Here is a 20,355-nt window from a genome sequence, read left to right as displayed (position 1 = left end):
GACCTGCTTTCTCTAGAAGGAGCTGGAGGTTACACGCAGGGGTCTCCTCCATTCCTATATAAAATGAATGGTTGGCCAGGCGTGGTGGCTCACGCCTGTAATCCCAGCACTTTGGGAGGCCAAGGCGGGTGGATCACCTGAGGTCAGGAGTTCAAGACCAGCCTGGCCAACATGGCAAAACCCTTCTCTACTAAAAATACAAAAATTAGCTGGGCATAGTGGTGGGTGCCTGTAGTCCGACCTACTCGGGAGGCTGAGGCACGAGAATGGCTTGACCCTGGGAGGCGGAGGTTGCAGTGAGCCGAGATCATGCCACTGCACTCCAGCCTGGGAGACAAAGCGAGACGACATCTCCCAAAAATAATAAAATAAAATAAAATTAATGGTTGACCTGTTACTTCCACAACGGGAACAGTCGTCAGCCGTCAGATTAATAAGGGACCTAGGGCCACAGAGCAGCAAGGACACTCAATAATGCCAAACCAGCTATTTTTTTGTGTGTGTTTAGTAAAATATAATACACAATTTACCACTTTGACCCTTTTTTTGTTCTTTTTTTTAGACAGCGTCTTGCTCTGTTGCTTCGGCTGGAGTGCAATGGTGAGATCCTGGTTCACTGTAGCCCTGACCTCCCAGGCTCAGGTGATCCTCCCAACTCAGCATCCCAAGTAACTGGGACCACAGGTGTGCACCACCATGCCCAGCCAGTTTTTTTTGTTGTAGAGTTGCAGTCTCACTATGTTGCCCAGGTTGGTCTTGGACTGGGCTCAAGCAATCCTCCCACCTCAACCTCCCAAAGTGCTGGGATTACAGGTGTGAGCCGCTGTGCTCAGCCCATTTTAACAATTTTTAAGCATATAATGTAGTGGCACTAAGTATATTCACAAAGTTTTGCAACAATCACCACCATCTATTTCCAGAACTTCTTCATTATCCCAAACAGAAACTCTGTACTCATTATACCATAACTCCCTATTTTCCCTTCTCCCTAGCCTCTGGTTACTTTTAATCTACTTTCTTTATAAATTTACCAATTCTAGGTACCTCCTATCAAGGGAATTGTAGAATATTTGTTCTTTTGTGTCTGGCTTATTTCAATGAACATAACGTACTCAAGATTCATCCATGTTGCAGCATTTAAGGTGGAATTCTAGCCCATCATATGGATAGGCCACGTATTGTTTATCCATTTATCTGTTGAAGGACACTTGAGTTTGCACCTTTTGGCTGTTGTGAATAATGCTGCTATCAACTTTGGTGTTCTGATGTTTGAATGTAATGGCATTCAGGGACATTTTGATCCTTCTTTCCTGGTTTTCTTTTTGTAATGTTAAGGAGGAACCCAAATGGAATCAAGGAGTGGAACATAAAAATCGGTTTCTTATGCCTCTGCACTTCACCTTTCTCCTGTTCATCCCACTCTGCCATCATTGCCTGCTTGCCTCCGAATTGCCCACGACAGTGCAGTCTGGGCACGGATCACACCTCCCATGCAGCGGTGGCTTTGTGATCTGTCCACCTGGGTAAGCTGAACCACACTTCCCAGAATTCCCTTCCCGTGTGTTTCCGGTTAGAGTGGAGCACAGAGGAGAAACTTGTGGAAGGTTTGGAGGTGGGAAGTGAAGCAGCAGTCATTTTACAGCTCACACGAATTGTGGCTTCTCTGCTGGCTCACCTCAGCAGAGGCAGGAACTGACATGGGGCCGGGTGCAGTGGCTCACGCCTGTAATCCCAACACTTTGGAGAGGCCAAGGCAGGTGGATTGCTTGAGACCGGGAGTTCAAGACCAGCCTGGGCAACATGGCAAAACCCTTCTCTACAAAAAATACAAACATTAGCCAGGTGTGGTGGCTCATGCCTGTAGTCCTAGCTACTTGGGAGGCTGAGTTGGGAGGATTTGCTTGAGACCAGGAAGGTCAAGGCTGCAGGGAGCTGAGATTGGGCCATGACACTCCAGCCTGGGCAACAGAGTGAGACCCTGTCTCAAAAAAACAAAAAAGAACTGACACAGACGGATGTGTCTGCCTTCAAGGGCTTCCACTTGGGCTTGTCCTCCCTTACTTTATATCCGTCTGTCCTTCCCGATTGTCTGCAGAGCCTGCTTAAGCAGCCCCAGTGCCAGTGACTGTGTAAGGTCAAATTCCCACAACAAATCTCTTCAAACAAGTACCTCTTAGTGGTTCTGCTTTTCTGATGAAACCCTGATGGGTACACACTCATTTATTCATTCAACCAAAAAATATTAACTGATAAAAAATACTGAACACTACCATGCACCAGATACTAGGTGCTAGGTAGTGAATAAAACAAAGTTCCTGCCACCATGGTGTGAGGTGTACTGTCATATCCCCAAGATATACCCCACTGCTGAATGAGCGTCTGAGGACCAGGTGCTGGTGCTGACTCCTCTGTTGACACCTGTGTGACTTTGGATCAGAATCCTTTAATCTCTCCACATCTAGATTTCTTCATTAGTAAACTGGGGTGAGCAACCTCCCAATCTACTTCTCATATAAATGCAGGTGGGGCCGGGCACGGTGGCTCACGCCTGTAATCCCAGCACTTTGGGAGGCTGAGGCGGGCGGATCAACTGAGGTTGGGAGTTCGAGACCAGCCTGACCAACACGGAGAAACCCCGTCTCTACTAAAAATACAAAATTAGCCGGGTGTGGTGGTGCATGCCTGTAATCCCAGCTACTCAGGAAGCTGAGGCAGGAGAATTGTTTGAACCCAGGAGGTGGAGGCTGTGGTGAGCCAAGATCGGGCCATTGCACTCCAGCCTGGGCAACAAGAGCGAAACTCCGTCTTAAAAAAAAAAAAAAATGCAGGTGGAGTTAATAGGAGTTGAAAGACATTTGCAAACCAAATAGCTCTCAAAATAATTAAACAAAACAAAAACCAGTCCAGGACATTGTCATAATTTTTTATTATGTATCAAATTGTCTTCAATATAAGTTACAACTTGATTAAAGTTGATAGACATTTGTATCTATTTAAAGACAAAAAAATTCTTTTATGTACAATATCTTGTCTAGAGTCTAGCAAATATAGTACCTTTCATTGCAGGATTTCTGCTTAATATAACAAGCAAAAACAAACAACTGAAAAAATATAAACCAAAGCAAACCAAACCCCCCGCTCAACTACAAATGTCAATATTGAATGAAGCATTAAAAGACAAACATAAAGTAACTTCAGCTTTTATCTAGCAATGCAGAATGAATACTAAAATTAGTGGCAAAAAAACAAACAACAAACAACAAACAAAACAAAACAAACAAACAAAAAATCCCACCAATCTTCATGGGTAAACTTTCCTGCTCAGGGATGTAAGCTGACTCTAGACCATCTCGCGGTTCCTGCGGATAGCACAGCACAAGATCATACTGAAGATCATGCCAAATATCTAGGAGATAGGAAGAAACATGAGGATCAGGGTGGTTTGATCTGAAGGAAGGCTGAGGGAAAGGGAGAGACATGGGTCACCCAGTCCAAGAAAAATGACAAGGAGAATGGCATCCAGGAGGCCAAACGAGTCAGAAGGTGCTGAAGCAGGAGAGATGCAGGCCAGATAATGAGAAGGGTGCGGGACGTGAGGAATCTGGGGGGGTTGGCAGTCAGCTGCACAAGCATTTTCCTTGGAGAACTTTCAGGGTGGGAAAGTAAGCTCAGAGCCAAATTTAATGCTCAAATTCCAGGTTTTCCTATAGTCCTAGTCCATACAGGTTAGTACTTTTGCATTTGTCTTTGTGTGTATGTTATTTAATACTCTTTTTTTTTTCTTTTGAGATGGAGTCTTGCTCTGTTGCTTAGGCTAGAGTGCTGTGGTGCGATCCGCCTGCCTCGGCCTCCCAAAATGTTAATATTCTATTTTAAAACGTATTGTTATATCTTGGCTGGGCACAGTGGCTCACGCCTGTAATCCCAGCACTTTGGGAGGCCAAGGCAGGCAGATTACCTGAGGTCAGGAGTTCGAGACCAGCCTGACCAACATGGTGAAACCCCATCTCTACTAAAAATAATCAGCTGGGCATGGTGGCACACGCCTGTAGTCCCAGCTACTCGGGAGGCTGAGGCTGGATAATTGCTTGAACCCAGAGAGGCGGAGGTTGCAGTGAGTCGAGATCACACCACTGCACTCCAGCCTGGGCGACAAGAGTGAAACTTCGTCTCAAAAAAAGAAAAAAAGAAAAAAAAGAAGGTATTGTCGTATATTTTGCTGAAAGGTGCTTCATGCCTTTCTTAAGATGCCGGTGAAGGGTGCAAATAACCACTAAGAAAGGAGGCGATTCTCTCTTTGGGGGCAGTCTGGCAAGAGGGCAGAGGCAGGCGGGGGTGGGGGAAGACTCAGTGAGCCAAGGCCATCCCAGCGAGGACCATGTTCCGTCTGGGGCTGTCCCTCATGGGAAGAGAGGACATGACCCCAAGGAACCTGGTTGGCCCTTGTTGGTTTCTAGGGGCTGATTAGCGAGAGACCTCCTTCTGGCTGCCCATGTTCAGATGCACTTCAGGAAATGGAACAATTCCCACGCCGGTAGCCTCTAGTGAACGACTTTCTTAGGGAGAAGAACAGCAGGTGCGTGAGGAGACATGCTCCGAGGACTAGCAGTGCCAGCACTGCCACCCATGTGCCCTGAACCTTAACGGCTAAGAGAGTCGACTCTTTAGAAGCCCAGGGGGAGCCTCAGATACTCCACTCAGGAGGTGAGAGGCTTTGATCAGAACATCGGCCTCTCTGTCTCTCCATTCCCTAGTGGTAAAATGGAAATACTAAGGGCACGAGGACAAAGTGAGTTGACAAATGCACAGAGTGCGGCGGTGTCTGGGTAGAGCATGGGCTGAATCAATGTGAACTCCTCAGTCCCCCTCCTGGGACGACGTCCTGCCACTCACCATGACCACGGCAATGCCGATGCCCACTGCGCCGATGATGTGGAATTTATTGTCGAAGACCTCTTTGATGGCATCAGGACAGGACTTGGGGAGACAAACCAAGACCTGGGTCACACACAATCCTTCCTCCCAGGGCACCTCCTCCCTCCCATGGCCCCCGTCTCACCCGGGAGAACTGGTGGGCAGAGGGTGGGCTGGGGACAGGAGTGTTCGGGGATAAGAGAAGTTCTGGCTGGTGGATGGAAAGGGGAACAAAGGGATGGCTATGCTAGTGGATCCCTAAAATCTGGGCAGGACGTCAGGGAAGGAGGAGGGACAGGCCCTGCTTGGGGGTCTATTTCTGACATGGTTGTAAGGTCACCTTTTACTATTCTGGAGTTGGACATTAACTCTGGCTTACAGACAGGAGCCACTGACAAAGTCAGAGTGGGAGTCCAAGACTCAGAAGCACGCCTGCCCTTGAGAGCTTCCGGGCTGGCAGCAGTGGGCGGTGCCAGAACACTTGTCATTCCCCTGGTCCGGCCTTTGTTTTATTGCCCTTGAGTAAACAGAGGGCCCAAAGTGGGAGAGAAAGAGATGGGTGCCCTGGGGCCCTTTCACAGGCAGAACGGGTCTTGCTGAAGCAGCACTTGGCTGCTGTCACTTTCATGCTTGCAGGGTTTGTCCAGAGCAATGGGGGCAGGGACACCAGGATCCTGGTCTGAGTTTACCTTCACGGTGAAGGTTTCGAGTACGTCCTTCTTGGGGCAGATGTCTGAGATAAACTGTTCCACGCCCCCAGCCAAACCACAGCAGTTCAACTACAGCGAGAAGGCAGGGATGGGGATGAGAGAAACAAATTGTAAGAAGACGATTAGAATGTTTGCACTGGTCTGGTGCAGTCAGCACCCTGTGTGCAGACACAATCCGGAGAAAGCGCAGGAGGGTGTCTTTGCCAAGGCGACATACCGCATAGTGGATGGCTTTCAGCGTTTCCCGCTGGGGCTCATCCTTGGTTTTCAGCTTGTTGTAGGTGTCCTTGTAAAACTCCTGGACTTCCTTAATCACCTACAATGGGCAGACGAGAGAGGGGCAGAGACGGCATTTTCACATCTTCCTCCACGAACAAATGTTATGCGTTCCATCTTGTTCTCTCTAAGCTCTCAGCCACCAGATGCCTGTGCTTGGACAACGTCACTGGGCAGATGGCAGCTGCTAGCACTGCCTTCTCTCAGGGCCTTTGGGCACTTCCCATCTCCTCCCACATCCTCCAGAAACCCACTCGGGCTGTTTCTCCCTGTCCCTTACACTTTGGTCAGTCCTTCAGCTCTACTTGGCTCCTAACTTGGCTCCTAAATTGAATCTCTATGATCTAGAGGATGATAATAATTGAAATACTACTCCTGACCTGACTATTTTCTCAGGCTTCCATCTTGTTTTTCTCTTCACTTAGGTATGAGTTTTGGCAAATTACTAAGCCTCTCTGTATGGAGTTTCCACATTTGTCCCTACAGCTCATAGATTATTTGTGAGAATTTAAATGAAATATTGCATGTTAAGCCTTTACCACTATGTCCAGTACAGAGTAAATCTGGAGCACGTGCCAGCTATTGTATCATAATATAGGGGATGTATTATTATGTGCCTGCGCCTGGCGCATCCCAATTTAATGTCTGTCTGCCCCTTTGATGCTCACCACATCCAGTTAACAGACCAACAGCCAGCATTTTTCCTTCAGCATCTGTCTGACATTTTTCACAATGATCCCCTCCTATTTCTATGGCTGTAGCTGTTATTGCTTACAGACATGTTTTTTTTTTTTTTTTAAACAGAGTTCCCTTGGCTGGGCTAAAAGTAGTGAGTTATCTCAATGGATTGCTCACGTCAGTTACAGATGGAAGTCCTTGTTCTACTCTTCCCTGTTTCTCACTACCGCGCTTGACTAGTCTCAAGAACAAAACAAAACAATAGGGTTCCTGCCTCCAGCATCTCAGCATCTCTCTTCCTTCCCCCTTCCTGCTGAACATGACAAGGCAGCCCTTCCAAAAACACTACTCTGATATGGCCCATCCTGGTCCAAAACTCTGCAGGGCTCCCCACGTAAGCCCAAGCTCAGCCATGCTCAGCCCCTTTGACTGGAAGTCCCCTGCCTCCACTAACTTTCCTCCTGAACGCATCTCTCATTCAAGGTTTAGGTCACGGCTCCCTTCTCTATGAAGCCAAAAGAGATTCCCTTCCCAGCCCCACCTTTTCAAATCCCATAGTACTTTGGATATAAATCACCTCTATGACCCTTATCAATTTCATGTCTTTTCCCCATACTAGATGGCCAAGTCTCCGGATGTGGGGCCCATAGTTCAAACATCTGTGGACCCTGCACAGGCTTGGGGGCAGCACTTGGCTCATGGGGGCAGCACTTGAACATGTTATTTATAGATCAGAGGAGGAGGCAAGGGTGTCCAGCCCACAGAAAGCCTGTATTTCCTGAGTAATCTTTCTAAAAGTTGTGGGGAAGGGCTGCTGAGGTGTGAGATGGACAGACAGACACACGCACAGGCCCAATGGGTAGTTTCTGAACATCTACTATGAGTCAACACCATGGCTGGCACAATCTCGGACAGGACAGTAAGCGCACTGACATTCCCTGCCCCGAGGAGGGCACATTCGCTGGCACACAGGGACGCGATGAGATAAGAGGCCTGGTCAACAGCTGAAAGCTGAACAAAGTGCCCAGCCAGGACTTGCCCCCTGCTTCACTGTCCCCCATCCCCCAACTCCCAAACCCAAGAGATCTCATGGGAAAAACCTACCTCATCCTTGTGGGAATATCCCCAGATGGCCGCAGCTATTTCAATGGCGAATATCACCAAGAGGAAGCCGAAGAACTGGAAGGCAACGAGGGGACGGGGTGAGAACAGTCCCAGCCAACCAGCCAGGAAAATCAAAGGGTATTTTGGGACAAGGAAGAAGGACAACTCCCTGGGAACAGGCATCTGGTGACACAAATGAATAGCCTAGCAGGGGCAGGGAAGAAGTTCACAGAACAGGCAGTTAACCAAGCCCAGGACAGAGGCCACAGTGAGGCAAGGTGCCCGGACATGAGGAAAGAGCTGAGCACAGCTGAGCCCAGAACTAGCATTTACAAGGCGTTAGTTAAGAGTCAGTGAGCAGGCAACTACTATTGTTCACAAAAGACAAGAGATTTGGGCAAGTAAAGGGAGCGAATCCACTCCGTGGAGTTCGGAAAAGACCAAAACAGATTTTGAAACAAGAAGGAGAAGGCAAAGGTACCTGTGGATTCAGGGAAAAAAAGCAAACGTGGTCCTCGAGAAAAGGGGGAAACATAGTCCTTTTAGTTGCCTAGGGGAAGCGATAAGACAGGCTCCAGAAAGGAAGAGGGGCGACGCCTCACATCGGGGAGGGGCCCAGGCTGAGGACAGCTCATGCCCTTTGGGTACCTTCCTGACCCCATCCCCCTCCATCTGTTCTGTGGTCTGGGTCTGGGCCTGCTGAGGTTTTTGTTGGTGGGAGTCAGGGTGGCTGTGGGGATGCCGAGGGGATACTCACCAGTCCCAGCATGCACTGGGACTCCTGCACAGCCCCGCAGCAGCCCAGGAAGCCCACCAGCATCATGAGGGCGCCGGCTCCGATCAGAATATAGACTCCTGCGGGAGGACAGAGGAAGCACACACGCGTGGAGACATCAGTTCAGAGGCCCAGGCATCTCCGGCAATTCCTGTTTCCCTCTGCCTAACTCCTGCCTCCCCACCTCCTTATTCCCCTCATCTCAGGGAAGAAGTTCCCTTTCCTTAAAATACAGCCTCCTCTTCCACCTCTGCCCCAGGTCTCCTTCCCACCAGCCTCTCTTGCATGACTCTGCTTCATCAAGCTCACGCTCCTACCTTACCCTCAGCCCTTCTGGAAGGTGCCCATTAGCCCTCAATCCAGGACAGAGAATATCCACGGGAATCCCTACATTCGGAATGCAAACTGGTCCAGTCTGTCAGCTCTTTCCAGCAAGATGAATCCACTCAAGCTAGTTAGCATATACCTTCCACACTCTGGCTAACTTCTGGGACCCTGCCTTACAGAGGACGCTGTCAGAGCAGATTTCCAGCAGGAAGGGGCCGTGCACACCTAGGCACCCCCCTACCCAGGGGTGGGGGGAACCAACTCTGCCTGTTCCCAGAAGGCGGGCCTCTTTGCCCTGTTGCTGGGTGGTGGTTAGGCACATACAGTTAGGAACACCCAAAGGCACCTCTTGGCAAAGGTCCAATACCTGACTCTAGTGCAAAGGACACAGATCTGGGTGTCAGAAGACCCTTCTTTTGGCCCTAACACTGATGCTAATTGCTGTGTGACCTGGGGTAAGACATTTTCCCTCTCTGGGCCTCAATTTCCTTACTAGTAAAATTAAAGAGGTATGTTCCTGGAAATTTCAAAAGATCTCTATAGCATGCTAACAAGATCTTAACAGTCATAACTCAGTTATTGCAGGTTAAGGGTGAAGAGGCTCCTCCTTGCTAAGGAGAGGATGAGTGACACCATTACTAAGCCCTTGATCTGAGTGGCTCATGGAAAGGAGGTGAGAGAAGGGCAGCAACTTCTATAACTTTTGCCCAAACCCAGAACAATGCAAATTCCTGGGACACAAACAGTAGAGCAGCACTGGCCCCATTCGTTCCACAACCCACCAAAGGAATGCCCAGAGGGGCCACCCCACAGTTCTATTCTTGAGAAGCCACAGCTGTCCTGCAGGGACTATTCCCTTAATCAGCACCCCAGCCCTACATGGGTCCCAAAGGAAAACCAGCAGCAAAGTCTCTGTGCCTCCCTGTCTTGCAGGCATGTTCTATCTAGCCTTGGGAGAGGCTACTGTCACATGTCGAGAGCACCAGATCTGTGACTCTGGGGAAGCCACTTAACCTCTCTGTGCAACAGTTTTCTATCTGTAAAACAGGAGTAGCAATAATGCCCACTTCCAGGATTGCTGTGAGGATTAAGTGATATAATCCACATGTGCACAACAAATGCTAGCTGTTGTTAATCTCAATTATACCAAGCATGAGTAACAATCATTAATAATCACCATGGTGAATTTTAACCTGCTGCTGTATCCCTACTGTCCTTTCACTGGGACCAGAGAGATATCCTTGATGTAGGGGCTGAAAACACGCACGCGAGAGAGAAAGTCTGTGATGTTTCCCCACAATACACAGCAGGACACTCGATGAGAACCCTCGGCAGGTGACACGCTGACTTCACTGTCCCACATCTGCACCCCGAGCAGGGGTGAGACTTTGCAGGCAACAAACCATGCAGTCTGCCCGCAGCTGAGGCTCACGGGCAGCACAGAGCAGAATGCACACAGAGAGCGTTTGTTCCTCCCCCTTCTCCCCCACATCCGTCGTGAGGTCAAGTCACGTGGGGTTACTGGCAAACCCCATGTTGCAAGAATATGGGTATTGTTCTTGTGCATGCCTGGCCCACACTGGGCAAGGGGACAAATGTAGCTTGTCCTCAAGTCAGGTCGCATCTTCCTGGGCAGTCAAACGCTGTTGAGGCCACAAGCTGGGCTTGGGGAGGCTGTGCAGCCCCATGCATGGAGCACTGGGTAAGAGGGCAGCCTCCTTTGGTTCTCTCACATGGGGACAGTAGAAAGGCCCCAGTTTCTCCCCATCTAATGGGGGCAAGTCAAGGAAGGATGAGGTCACTCCTTTGAGCTCCATAGCAGGGGCTGAATAAACAGGAGGTATTAAGAGATCAAAAGGATTTACAAACACATGAAATACCGTGGAGTGGGAACGAACAGGCAGACATGTTTTCTCTAAGTCCAGATCCCAGTTCTTGAACCTGGCGGTCCTGGCAGAGGCCAAGGGAATTGGATTAGCTGCAAGTGAGCTACTAAAGAGAAAGTATTTCCCACGCAGAGAAAGAGAACATGCTCCTAATGGGGCTTGTGGTTAATATTAAATATTCATGCTAGGGCTCAGCAGAGGAAGATTTTAGGATCACGGGTTTTGTGGGCTTTAAATCTTGCGTGGATGGCTACGGATCTGCAGTGCCTAGCTTTAGCCCTCTCTAGTCACGGGAAAAGGGAAGCGATCCCCTGGCAGCTGTGTTCGGGGACTCAGCAGCAGCCGGCAAGCTACAGGACAGCTCATCTGGAAGCAGGCCCCATGGAAGTCACGGAACCACTGCAGGGCTCGGGCTGGTTTTTACAAGGGCTATTCAGTGCTTCCCTTTGGAGAAGCTACTCATCGCTTACACCCCAAGCTTGTTAGCCAAGGCTGCTGTTGATAAATGACAAAGTGTTCCCCTTTATAAAACAAGCGAATGTTAGCTTGCTGTCTGACTCATGGAAAAAGTTATCCATCACAGAGCCTTCTCTAGGATTACGGTATTAATTTGCTTAAGGGTTGTTTATTCTGCTTTTTTCAGGCTGACATTACAGGCCCAGAAAAAAAAAAAAAAAAGAAAGGCTGGTGTAGCAGCAGTAGCATATGCCAGCGTGTCCTTTACACAAGAAATGGAACAGTGTTTTTCACTGTTCACCAGGGCTCTCAGTTTAGCCCAGGGAGAGGACACAGCAGGCTCCCGTCCCTACACCAGCTCTGTCCTGCAAACAGCACTCACCACGCCCGTTTGTGTGAAGGAGAACAAAATCCGGTAGGGCCTCTGGCCTGCAATAAAAGTTTATTATATCCAAATAACTCCACCAGGTGTTCAAAGGAGCCCTACCTCTGCCCCGACTGGTTTCGTCTTGGTTCCCGCCCTCCCGAGTTCACGGGAATAAGTGCCACAATGGAATTCCATTTGCCACACGCTGTACTTCTTTGCCCCAGAGGGGAGTGGGTGTGTAAGCTGTGCTGTGGTTGTGTAAGCTGTGCTGGTTTCAGGAGGGAGAAAAATGAAGCCCAGAGCAATAAAATGAACTGCCCCAGGTCACAAGCCAGGATGGGGATGCCAGCTTACTAAGGCCAAGTGTCGCGTGTCCTGAAAATCACCAGGCACCTCATCATGGATAGGGGGCTGGCCGAGGAAGGGGGGGCATTCACGGCCTCTGGCTGGAGCCCCCCTAGATGCCCTCATTCAGCAGCCATGGTTCTGGAGGGACACCAGGGAGCTGGGAAAGGCTGCTGGCCTAGGACCAAGAAAATGAAGTTCCCCAACAAGTTTGCAGCCTGGGATTAGGGATCTTGCTGACGGGCTGAATCTCCAGGCCTGGATTGGAGAGAAGGCCCATATAAGGCTGTCAGCTGCTCTGGACTTACCATAGACTGTTCTGAATGTTGGAAAGGTTTTCACTTGCTTTTCTGCCTGGTTATATACTCTTTCTCTACTTGGTAAGCTGTGGCCCCACTGGAGAAAAGACACCCCTGGGCTGTTCAGGTTTCCTGAAAAGTCAGCTGCATGGTCAGGCTGGCCTGTGGGTTGCTCTGCAGACAGTTGGTGGCCCAGTGCAAGGGGCGGTCACCCCATGACTATTCCTTGGAAAAGTAGCCAGGGTGTGGCTGGCACTCCAAGCTCATCTGCTAGGAGAAGGGCTCTGGGCCAGTACAGAAGGCTGGTCTCACAGCCTCGTGGGGAAGGGGACACAGAGCGACGCCTCCTTGGCCCTTTGCCCATGGACGACAATTATTATTTCCTAAAGCGTTCAGTGACGTTCAGGGCATAGCTCAGACCTAAGCAGTGCTCAGAGTGCTGTGCTGCTGTTTTTTTTTTTTTTTTTTTTTTTGAGATGGAGTCCCGCTCTGTCTCCCAGGCTGGAGACAGAGCCTCAGTGGTGTGATCTCAGCTCTCTGCAACCTCTGCCTCCCAGGTTCAAGAGATTCTTGTGCCTCAGCCTCCCGAGTAGCTGGGATTATAGGTGCACGCCACTACGCCCAGCTAATTTTTGTATTTTTAGTAGAAGTGGGGTTTTGCCATGTTGGCCAGGCTGGTGTCGAACTCCTGACCTCGGGTGATCTGCCTGCCTCGGCCTCCCAAAGTGCTAGAGGCTGAGGCGGACGGATCACCTGAGATCAGGGCTGATCACTGTGCCCAGACACAGTGCTGCTGTTCTAACTTTACCGTGCATCATCCCCCTTGCCGGCGCTTCTGCAGGCAGAACGAAGTCTTCAAAGCTCCGCTCTCTTCCCCGAATGGGGTGTCGCTGCAAAGGATCTGTATTTCCCTGGCAGAGCTAAGTGGACAGTGGCCCTTAGACCCCAACTAGGGGATCTGTGTCTCTTTGGGGTTGTGCCTTCAAATCACCCTCCTGGTCACTTCAGGTAGGACCACCGGCCACCAGCAGGGCCCTGCAATGACCTGCAGGATCTGAATCCTGTGAGGTTCCCAGAGGTGAGCCCCAGCTCCTCTAATGGCACTCACCATTCTCCTGCCACCCTGCAGCTTTCCCACCTGTCAGCTGCTGGCTGGGCCACCGACGCAGGGGTTTCTCTCCCTGACTGCAATTTGGGTGAAGTAAAAGGGCCAAGACAGCGCCACCCCATCCCTGCCAATGGGGCACATTCAGCCAGTACAGACCTCTTCCATTCCTACAGAGGGAGACCCCACAACCTGGCAATGACAACCCGAGAAGCAGCTCTTTTAGGCCTGGGTTCAAAACCTGGCCCTGCCTCTTGAGGGAATATAAGCTTAGACAAGTTATTTCAGCTCTCTAGGCCTCGGTTTCTGCACTTGTGAGATGAGAATCACTCCACACTCCTCGTAGAGCTAAGGGGATTAAATTATATAATACACACAAGACAATGAATGACACACAAAGAAGGGGGCTCAAAAATGTTAGTGTCTTCCAGCCGGGCGAGGTGGCTCACGCCTGTCATCCCATCACTTCGGGAAGCCAAGACGGGAGGATCACCTGAGGTCGGGAGTTGGAGACGAGCCTGACCAACATGGAGAAACCCCGTCTGTACTAAAAATACAAAATCAGCTGGGCATGGTGGCACATGCCTGTAATCCCAGCTACTCAGGAGGCTGAGGCAGGAGAATCGCTTGAACCTGGGAGGCAGAGGTTGCGGTGAGCCGAGATTGTGTCATTGCACTCCAGCCTGGGCAACAAGATTGAAACTTCGTCTCAAAAAAAAAATAAAAAAAATAAAAAATAAAAATGTTAGTGTCTTCCTCCCAGTTCCATCCTCTTACCCATGAGATTCTTAACTCCCACATCTAAAAATATAAAGAATCAGCCATAGAGGCTTTGGGTAACAGAAAAGAAAAAGTGGGTTGTTAGAAGCAGCCAGGACAAGGGAGGACTGAGTCTCTCTTTGGAGACACACGCGCCGGCCACAGGGCTTTTGCTTAGGAAAGCAGGCCTGACTGTGCCTGCTCCTGCCGGCAGACCTGCTCCCCCAGCACAGGGCTCCCTTCTGGAACACGGCGTGGAGTGTGGAGAGTCTTCCCCAGCACCCGCACCCGGCTCCTCCCTCCTGCTCTGCAGGACAGCATTCTAAGCCTGTCACAGACTCCCAAAAAATGGTCTGTTGCCAAAACAAGTCAGGGCGCTATAGAAACCTGTTCCCCAAAAACTCTGTGTGTATGTGTAGTTTTTTTTCTAAACATACATTGTGCTTTCTCTCACTTTCTTTCCGATAATAGAGAGACACACCCCAAAAAACCCCAGCTAACAATAAAAAGCAGTAAACCCAGCAAAACTATCCACAGGGCTCAAATGTTACGCAACCAAAGGAGCTGTTTTTAAAGACTCTCCCTACCCAGTTCAAGAGGTGGGAAAGGGAAGGTCTACGTGGCTGGCCAGCCTTGCTTCTCCCTGAGGGACTGGGAGATAACTGTTTTCTCCCTCGTTTGTAAAAATAACTTTTTTGGTGGGTGGGAAGGAAGTGACCAAACTTACATTTTGAGCCTGACAACATGTCAGCGTCATCCTAAAAATAGGAGGTTTCCTTTGTTCCTCACAAATGAAAAGTTTCCTACCTCCAAGCCAGGCAGAGTACAGCCGCAGAGTCTGAATTCACGCAGACGCGGGCAACTGCACTTGGCAGGCACCAGGCTCCCCCTCCTCTGAAGGGAGCTTTGACGTGGTGATACGGCAACGAGAGGGATAGAATGGTCTAGCAAGGCTGCCAAGAAGCCTGAGTGTAGAAAGAAACCTGCCAAGTCTGTTCATGTTCAGAGGATCCCAGGCAGGTTTAAACTGGAAGCCTCTCTCCCAAAGCAAAAGTCGTGTCAAATACAAACAAATAAAACTAAACACTACAGCATTTACCCCAGTACCAGGGGTCCAAAGGACTGGGCAGAGTCCATTCTAGTCTCTCCTATTGTTGCTGTGTTTTCCAGGAGGCTGATGTTTTTCCCAGTCTCAGAGTCCCTATCTGAACAGTGAAGAGGAAAGCTGTCTATATCTTCTTCCAGCACTGCAGATCCCCAGGACAAAGCTTTTTGAATTAAGGAAATGATGCAGGATAAGAAGACAATCAGGAGAGAGCATCAGAGATGAGAACAGAGGTTCGTAAACCCTCAAGAATGAGTACAACTTTGGCAGAGGCTACATCACATCAGAGAACCATCAACATGCCTGACTTGGCCATCAGGAAAAGAAACCACATCAGTTAAACGCAAATTCCCAGGCACAACGACACACACAAAAACTGCACAACTTGAAAGGGACACGACTGGCCAGCGTGGCTAGAGCAAAAGTCTTTCCCAAGCCCAAGTCCCTGGGTCAACATGGGGCCTCCAAAGTTGCAGGAACTTTGTTGGAGCCAGGGTCTGAATTCACTGAGCCTTCCCCGTCCCTCACCTGTGTAGAAGCTGGAATTATTATTATTAGTTTCTTGCTCGAAGATGCTCTTGGTCTGAGAGTCGAATCGGAGCCATAGTCCAATGGCAAGGACAGCAATCCCGGCAAGCTGCAAGACATACAGGACATCAGCATTAATTCTGGCTGCCAGCAACAACACAGTCCCCACGCGCTTAAGGGTGAGACTTGCAAAGGACTTTGTGACCACCCTTGGTCTCTGCCCCTCATATACGCCTGGTAGTTGTAGATGCCATTACGGGGTGTGTTTGATTCATGCAGGTACTAAAAATACCAGCAAGCGAGGAATAAACAGTGACCTACCTGCCGCCCATTGGCTGAAGGGGTATTTTATAGGCAACAGAACACTATACAGCAGTGAAAACGAGTAACTCTAGCTACACGCAACACCATGAGTGCATCTCACAATGCTAAACCAAGAAGCCAGAGCCACAGGCACACACACAATATGATTCCATGTAGTTAAAAACGCTATGCTGTTTAGGGATGCACACAGAGCTAGACGCTTACATGTGCCTATAAATGATAAAGGAAAAGCATTGTTATCAGGTGAGTGGTGATGTTTAGGTGGAGGAGGAAATTATGCTCAGGGAGGTGCCATGTGGCTGGGGGTGTCGTATTCTAACTGTTGACTTGGGTGATGGTTACACAGTTCCGGACACACATGCACCAGGGAGGGCAGCTGCAATGTCCCTGGAGACCTGCTGCTCAGTAAATGACATGCCAGGGCCTCCCCTCGCTGGCACTGCTGAACTAGATGCTGTGCAGGAGGCCTCCTGCCAAGTCCCCCCAGTGCCAGCTGAGCTCCCTCGTCGTCACCCGTACCAGGGCTTGCCGGGGGAGTGACTCACAGGCCTCCAGTGTGGTAGCCGGCTGGACGCAGGAGTGGGTGGGCCCAGGTTTTGCTGGTCCACCCTCCTCAACAGAGGCACTCTTATGTCAGAGCCCGCTCATCAGGGACCTTGGTTCTCGGCTCCAGGAGCTATTGATAGCCCATGGTGTGGACAGGCCTCTCTTTCCTTCCTCCTTTCCTCCTCTCCTTTCCCTTACGATATGGCAGTGAGTGTGGGCATGTTGGGTGGACAGCAGATGTGGCAATAGTGGGAAGGGCCACCCAGACCTCCGCCTGCAGCAGTCACAAACTCACCTACCCCCCAGGAGCATAAGGGGATTTGCTCCTGCCAGGGAGGTGTGCTTCCACCACGAGGGGCTGCAGAGTCTAGCTTCATATTCTATTGCTTCAGTGTTCCCATCTGTAAAGCAGGGATTGTGAGATGCGGCCCTTCCCTGCCTTTTAGGTATGGCTAAAGAATAAAGAAGATAATATCAGAAGTGCATCTGAAGAGGAAGGTACCAAATGGGCTCTGGGAGAACCACCTCACTTTACCAGCATGAAGCCCCACCAGCCCTGCACTCCCAGCCTGTGGACTGTCACTCAGCATCTTCTCAGCCTCTCAGCCGCACCTTAGGGCAGGCAGCTCCAAACATTGGTAAGGACTGTACGACGCCACATGCCCCGCGGCTGGACAAGGCAGAGGAGAAAAACTCACACAGGCACAAGAATTTGAGAGTTCAAATGAACTTGAGAGTTCTGAGTTCAAAGACGAGTCTGATTTTCTTTCTTAATAAAAGGCCAGTGAGGGAGGGTCTCCTGGCCTAATCCAAAGGCAGCAAGCAGATCACTGTTTGGTTGGGGAGAAGCGTGAGTCTCCACCGTCCTGGACCCAGCAGGGTACTCGCATTCAGACCATGGGTTCCCCGACCAAGAGCACTGCAGTTAGCTTAGGCGGGGAGGCGGGCCCTGCTGGGAGCGTGCTGGGCTAGAAGAGTTATGTGGCTTGAATTCACGTACACAAGGGACTAGACAAGCACACACTGGGCGGTCTTGACTCTGTACATGGCAAGTCCTGGCCTGGGTCCCCCCCCAGGTCCCTGAGCATTAAAAGTACAAAGGTGGGCTGGGTGCAGTGGCTCACGCCTGTAATCCCAGCTCTTTGGAAGGCTGAGGCGGGTGGATCACGAGGTCAGGAGATCGAGACCATCCTGGCTAACACAGTGAAACCCCGTCTCCACTAAAAATACAAAAAATTCTCCAGGCGTGGTGGCGGGCGCCTGTAGTCCCAGCTACTCCAGAGGCTGAGGCAGGAGAATGGCGTGAGCCCGGGAGGCGGAGCTTGCAGTGAGCGGAGATTGCGCCACTGCACTCCAGCCTGGGCGACAGAGCGAGACTCCCTCTCAAAAAAAAAAAAAAAAAAGTACAAAGGTGATACCTTCCCTCCTTCCACCCCAACCCCAGGGAGGCCCAGTCAGTCCCCTGGGAATGGAAGACTGAAGCTGCTGGCCTCCTGGACATAAAAGCGTTAACCTGAAAACTGTAGGCCGGTGCTCAATTTTGGTCCACGTTTAGCCACAACCTGTTTCTCACCCTGGTCCTCCCTCTCGCCCTGGTCTTGTGATGCTCTTGCGCGCATAGGGAGATAGCGAGACAGTGCTCATTACTGTCCTTTTTGCTCTAGGCTTGTGCTTATCAAGCAATTATCTCCCAAGTCATCTTACTTCCCCTGATGAGTGAAGTTATGACCCCACCCCTTATCTGCTGGGAAAACTGAGTCGCAGAAAAGAACGAAAACAATCCCAGGTCTGCCAAGGAACTAAGCTGTAAGATGAGGTAAAGCTACGCTCTGCACAGCAGCCTCTCACGAGCAGGAGCTGCGTCTCTCTGGGAATGTTCCACGCTCAGATAATGACAGGGTACCCCAGTGGAACCTCCAGGGGTAAGGCCCCTTCCATCTTATAGAGAGCCCCAATGTCGAGGACCCTGAGCCAATATGTTAAGTCCAGTCATTGATCCGGTCTCTGTGCACAGGTGGTAAGAAGGATGCTGGGCTGGAGAACTGGAACCACGAGGGAAAAGGAAGCATCTCAGGTCTCTTATCTTGGCCAAGGGCCAGGCCAAGCCCGGAGTCGGGAGTCCCCCGCATTCGGACCCCACCTTAAACCTTACATCATGCGGCTTGGTTGTCAAAGCTACAACATTTCACTACAACCAGGAAGGAAAAGCAGCTGGCTCTGGAGAAATGGGAAAAGCTGCCATAGGTCTCGGTCTCACAGGCTTAACAACTCACAATAAGAGAGGAGAAAGGTTCAAGTAACCCAGAGAAAAGGGAGGGCCAGGGGCATGACTGGGAACACTTGGACAAAAATCAGGAGTGAACCCTGCTGCCTTTTCTGACAGAATGACTGAGTTCACCGGCCGGGGGGGATGCTATGTGAACCATCAGCTGCCCCATTTTCTGTAACGCTGTTGGAGACATTGCTCCAGTTGGCTGAGTCACAATGGCTTGGGGTCACAGGGTCACAAAACTTGTATAACCAGTGCCACCCAATAATGCCTTTCATGGTTGTCAGGCAGCGCTATCTAAGGCGCTCTGAAGTATTTTCTAGGAGAACTCACTTTCTGGTGTGGCATAGAGGGGCTCCCCTGTCCCCATCCGGCTTTCACCCCAGCTGCTTTATTTTTTGAGACAGGGTCTTGCTCTCGTCACCCAGGCTGGAGTGCAGTGGTGCAATCATAGCTCACTGTAGCCTTGGACTCCTGGGCTCAAGCCATTCTTCCACCTCAGCCTCCTGAGTAGCTGGGATTACAGGTGCATGCCGCTAATCCTGGCTAATATTTTAAACCCTTTTTTTTTTTTTTTTTTTTGTAGAGCCAGGGGTCTCGCTATGTTGCTCAGGCTGGTCTTAAATTCCTGGCCTCAAGCAATCCTCCTGCCTCAGCCTCCCAAAGCACTTGGATTACAGGTGTGAGCCACTGCGCCCAGCTTCAGCTACTTTAATAATAGGAGAAACTAAATGGGAGGGGCCAGGAGCAAGAAAAAAAGAGAGCTTTAACCCTTAAAAGAGGGTGCCAAGTCAATTATTCAGGGACTCCATAAATGAGAATATAGGAGTCCGGGAGGCCAAGGGGTCGATGGCTTCCACCCAGGTTAATTAACAGACATATGGCGGCATGCTGACCATGTAATTTCTTCGATGGCTGCCCCACCCCAGCCTATCATCCCAGGAGCAGAGCAGGTTTGATGCGGATGCTGAATGAGACAGTGCCCTGTTCCCAGGGCTCTGGAGAGAGGATGGCAACCTGTAGTATGCCCAGCTGGTCGGGCGGGGATGCGGGGATGCAGGAGAGAGCCCATAGCTTCTACTCCCAGCTCGCGGCCCTGCCCATGGTTTCCTCTTTTGTTTCCAAGAAAAGCCAAATGGAAACATTCTGGTTTTGCTGGGAAAAGCTCCTTTGCTATCTGGCCAAAAAATGGTTCCATCCCTTTGAGAGGGCCGAGAGGAAAAGGGTCATTTTTTCCCATTGTTTTACTGGAAATTTCTTCGTTTCTTCACTGGTGCTAGGCCCTGAGAAAAACATGAGCCAAACCTCAACTGAGCACAGTCTACAAAATACTTGCCTAGCACTTCTCTCCAAACTGTCAAGGTCATGGAAAACAAGGAAAGACAGAAACTGTCACAGCCCAGAGAAGACTGAGGGGGCATGACAACTGTCCTGTGGTGTCCTGGATAGGACCCTGGAACAGAAATAGGACGTTACATGAAAAACTAGTGAAATCCGACTAAGTCCAGAGCTCAGTTAACAGAATGTACCAACGGTGGTTTCCTAGTTGTGACAAATGAAACACAGTAATATGAGATGGTAC

General features: G+C 50.2%; 1 protein-coding gene and 1 long non-coding RNA gene across 18 annotated transcripts in view, besides 6 other annotated features; one reads left to right on the top strand and one right to left on the bottom strand.

Annotated features, from left to right (window-relative positions):
- LOC105369625 (uncharacterized) overlaps positions 1–17,200 on the top strand; it is a 71,439-nt gene extending 54,239 nt beyond the window's left edge. The window contains exons 4-5 of one of the 3 annotated variants that reach the window (XR_001748979.2): positions 1,336–1,523; positions 16,951–17,200. This is a non-coding gene — a long non-coding RNA (uncharacterized LOC105369625). Of the gene's footprint in view, positions 1–1,335; positions 2,322–16,950 lie in introns of those variants that run through there. The other 2 variants (XR_001748978.2, XR_001748976.2) reach the window with 2 other exon arrangements.
- CD9 (CD9 molecule) overlaps positions 2,903–20,355 on the bottom strand; it is a 38,321-nt gene continuing 20,868 nt past the window's right edge. For 5 of the 15 annotated variants that reach the window (NM_001413243.1, NM_001330312.2, NM_001413241.1 and 2 more), the window contains 7 exons: positions 15,635–15,743; positions 8,440–8,537; positions 7,683–7,757; positions 5,842–5,940; positions 5,604–5,693; positions 4,894–4,977; positions 2,903–3,406 (listed from right to left, as the gene is read on the bottom strand). In NM_001413243.1, the coding sequence (NP_001400172.1) occupies positions 3,341–3,406; positions 4,894–4,977; positions 5,604–5,693; positions 5,842–5,940; positions 7,683–7,757; positions 8,440–8,537; positions 15,635–15,743 (621 nt within the window). In that variant the 3' untranslated portion in view covers positions 2,903–3,340. Of the gene's footprint in view, positions 3,407–4,893; positions 4,978–5,001; positions 5,941–7,682; positions 7,758–8,163; positions 8,233–8,439; positions 8,538–14,808; positions 15,031–15,634; positions 15,744–16,799; positions 16,906–20,355 lie in introns of those variants that run through there. The other 10 variants (NM_001413249.1, NM_001413242.1, NM_001413245.1 and 7 more) reach the window with 10 other exon arrangements.
- Positions 10,041–10,250: an enhancer, noted in NCBI's record as "active region_5843". NCBI's record gives its function as "activates an Ori minimal core promoter by ATAC-STARR-seq in GM12878 lymphoblastoid cells {active_cell/tissue: GM12878}" and the evidence as "EXISTENCE:reporter gene assay evidence [ECO:0000049][PMID:35858748]".
- Positions 10,041–10,386: a biological region, named in NCBI's record as "Sharpr-MPRA regulatory region 10655".
- Positions 10,092–10,386: an enhancer, noted in NCBI's record as "tiled region #10655; HepG2 Activating DNase matched - State 5:Enh, and K562 Activating non-DNase unmatched - State 20:ReprD". NCBI's record gives its function as "activates a minimal TATA promoter and a strong SV40 promoter by Sharpr-MPRA in HepG2 and K562 cells {active_cell/tissue: HepG2 | K562}" and the evidence as "EXISTENCE:reporter gene assay evidence [ECO:0000049][PMID:27701403]".
- Positions 16,619–17,172: an enhancer, noted in NCBI's record as "H3K4me1 hESC enhancer chr12:6333163-6333716 (GRCh37/hg19 assembly coordinates)". NCBI's record gives its function as "activates a minimal SCP1, AML or CMV promoter by ChIP-STARR-seq in naive H9 embryonic stem cells {active_cell/tissue: H9 hESC(naive)}" and the evidence as "EXISTENCE:reporter gene assay evidence [ECO:0000049][PMID:30033119]".
- Positions 17,173–17,724: an enhancer, noted in NCBI's record as "H3K4me1 hESC enhancer chr12:6332611-6333162 (GRCh37/hg19 assembly coordinates)". NCBI's record gives its function as "activates a minimal SCP1, AML or CMV promoter by ChIP-STARR-seq in primed H9 embryonic stem cells {active_cell/tissue: H9 hESC(primed)}" and the evidence as "EXISTENCE:reporter gene assay evidence [ECO:0000049][PMID:30033119]".
- Positions 17,725–18,278: an enhancer, noted in NCBI's record as "H3K4me1 hESC enhancer chr12:6332057-6332610 (GRCh37/hg19 assembly coordinates)". NCBI's record gives its function as "activates a minimal SCP1, AML or CMV promoter by ChIP-STARR-seq in naive H9 embryonic stem cells {active_cell/tissue: H9 hESC(naive)}" and the evidence as "EXISTENCE:reporter gene assay evidence [ECO:0000049][PMID:30033119]".

This window comes from Homo sapiens, chromosome 12 (genome assembly GCF_000001405.40).
Source record: "Homo sapiens chromosome 12, GRCh38.p14 Primary Assembly".
Lineage (NCBI taxonomy): Eukaryota > Metazoa > Chordata > Mammalia > Primates > Hominidae > Homo > Homo sapiens.
The sequence above is the reverse complement of the archived record's forward strand: the minus strand, read 5'-3'. Positions and strand labels throughout refer to the sequence as shown.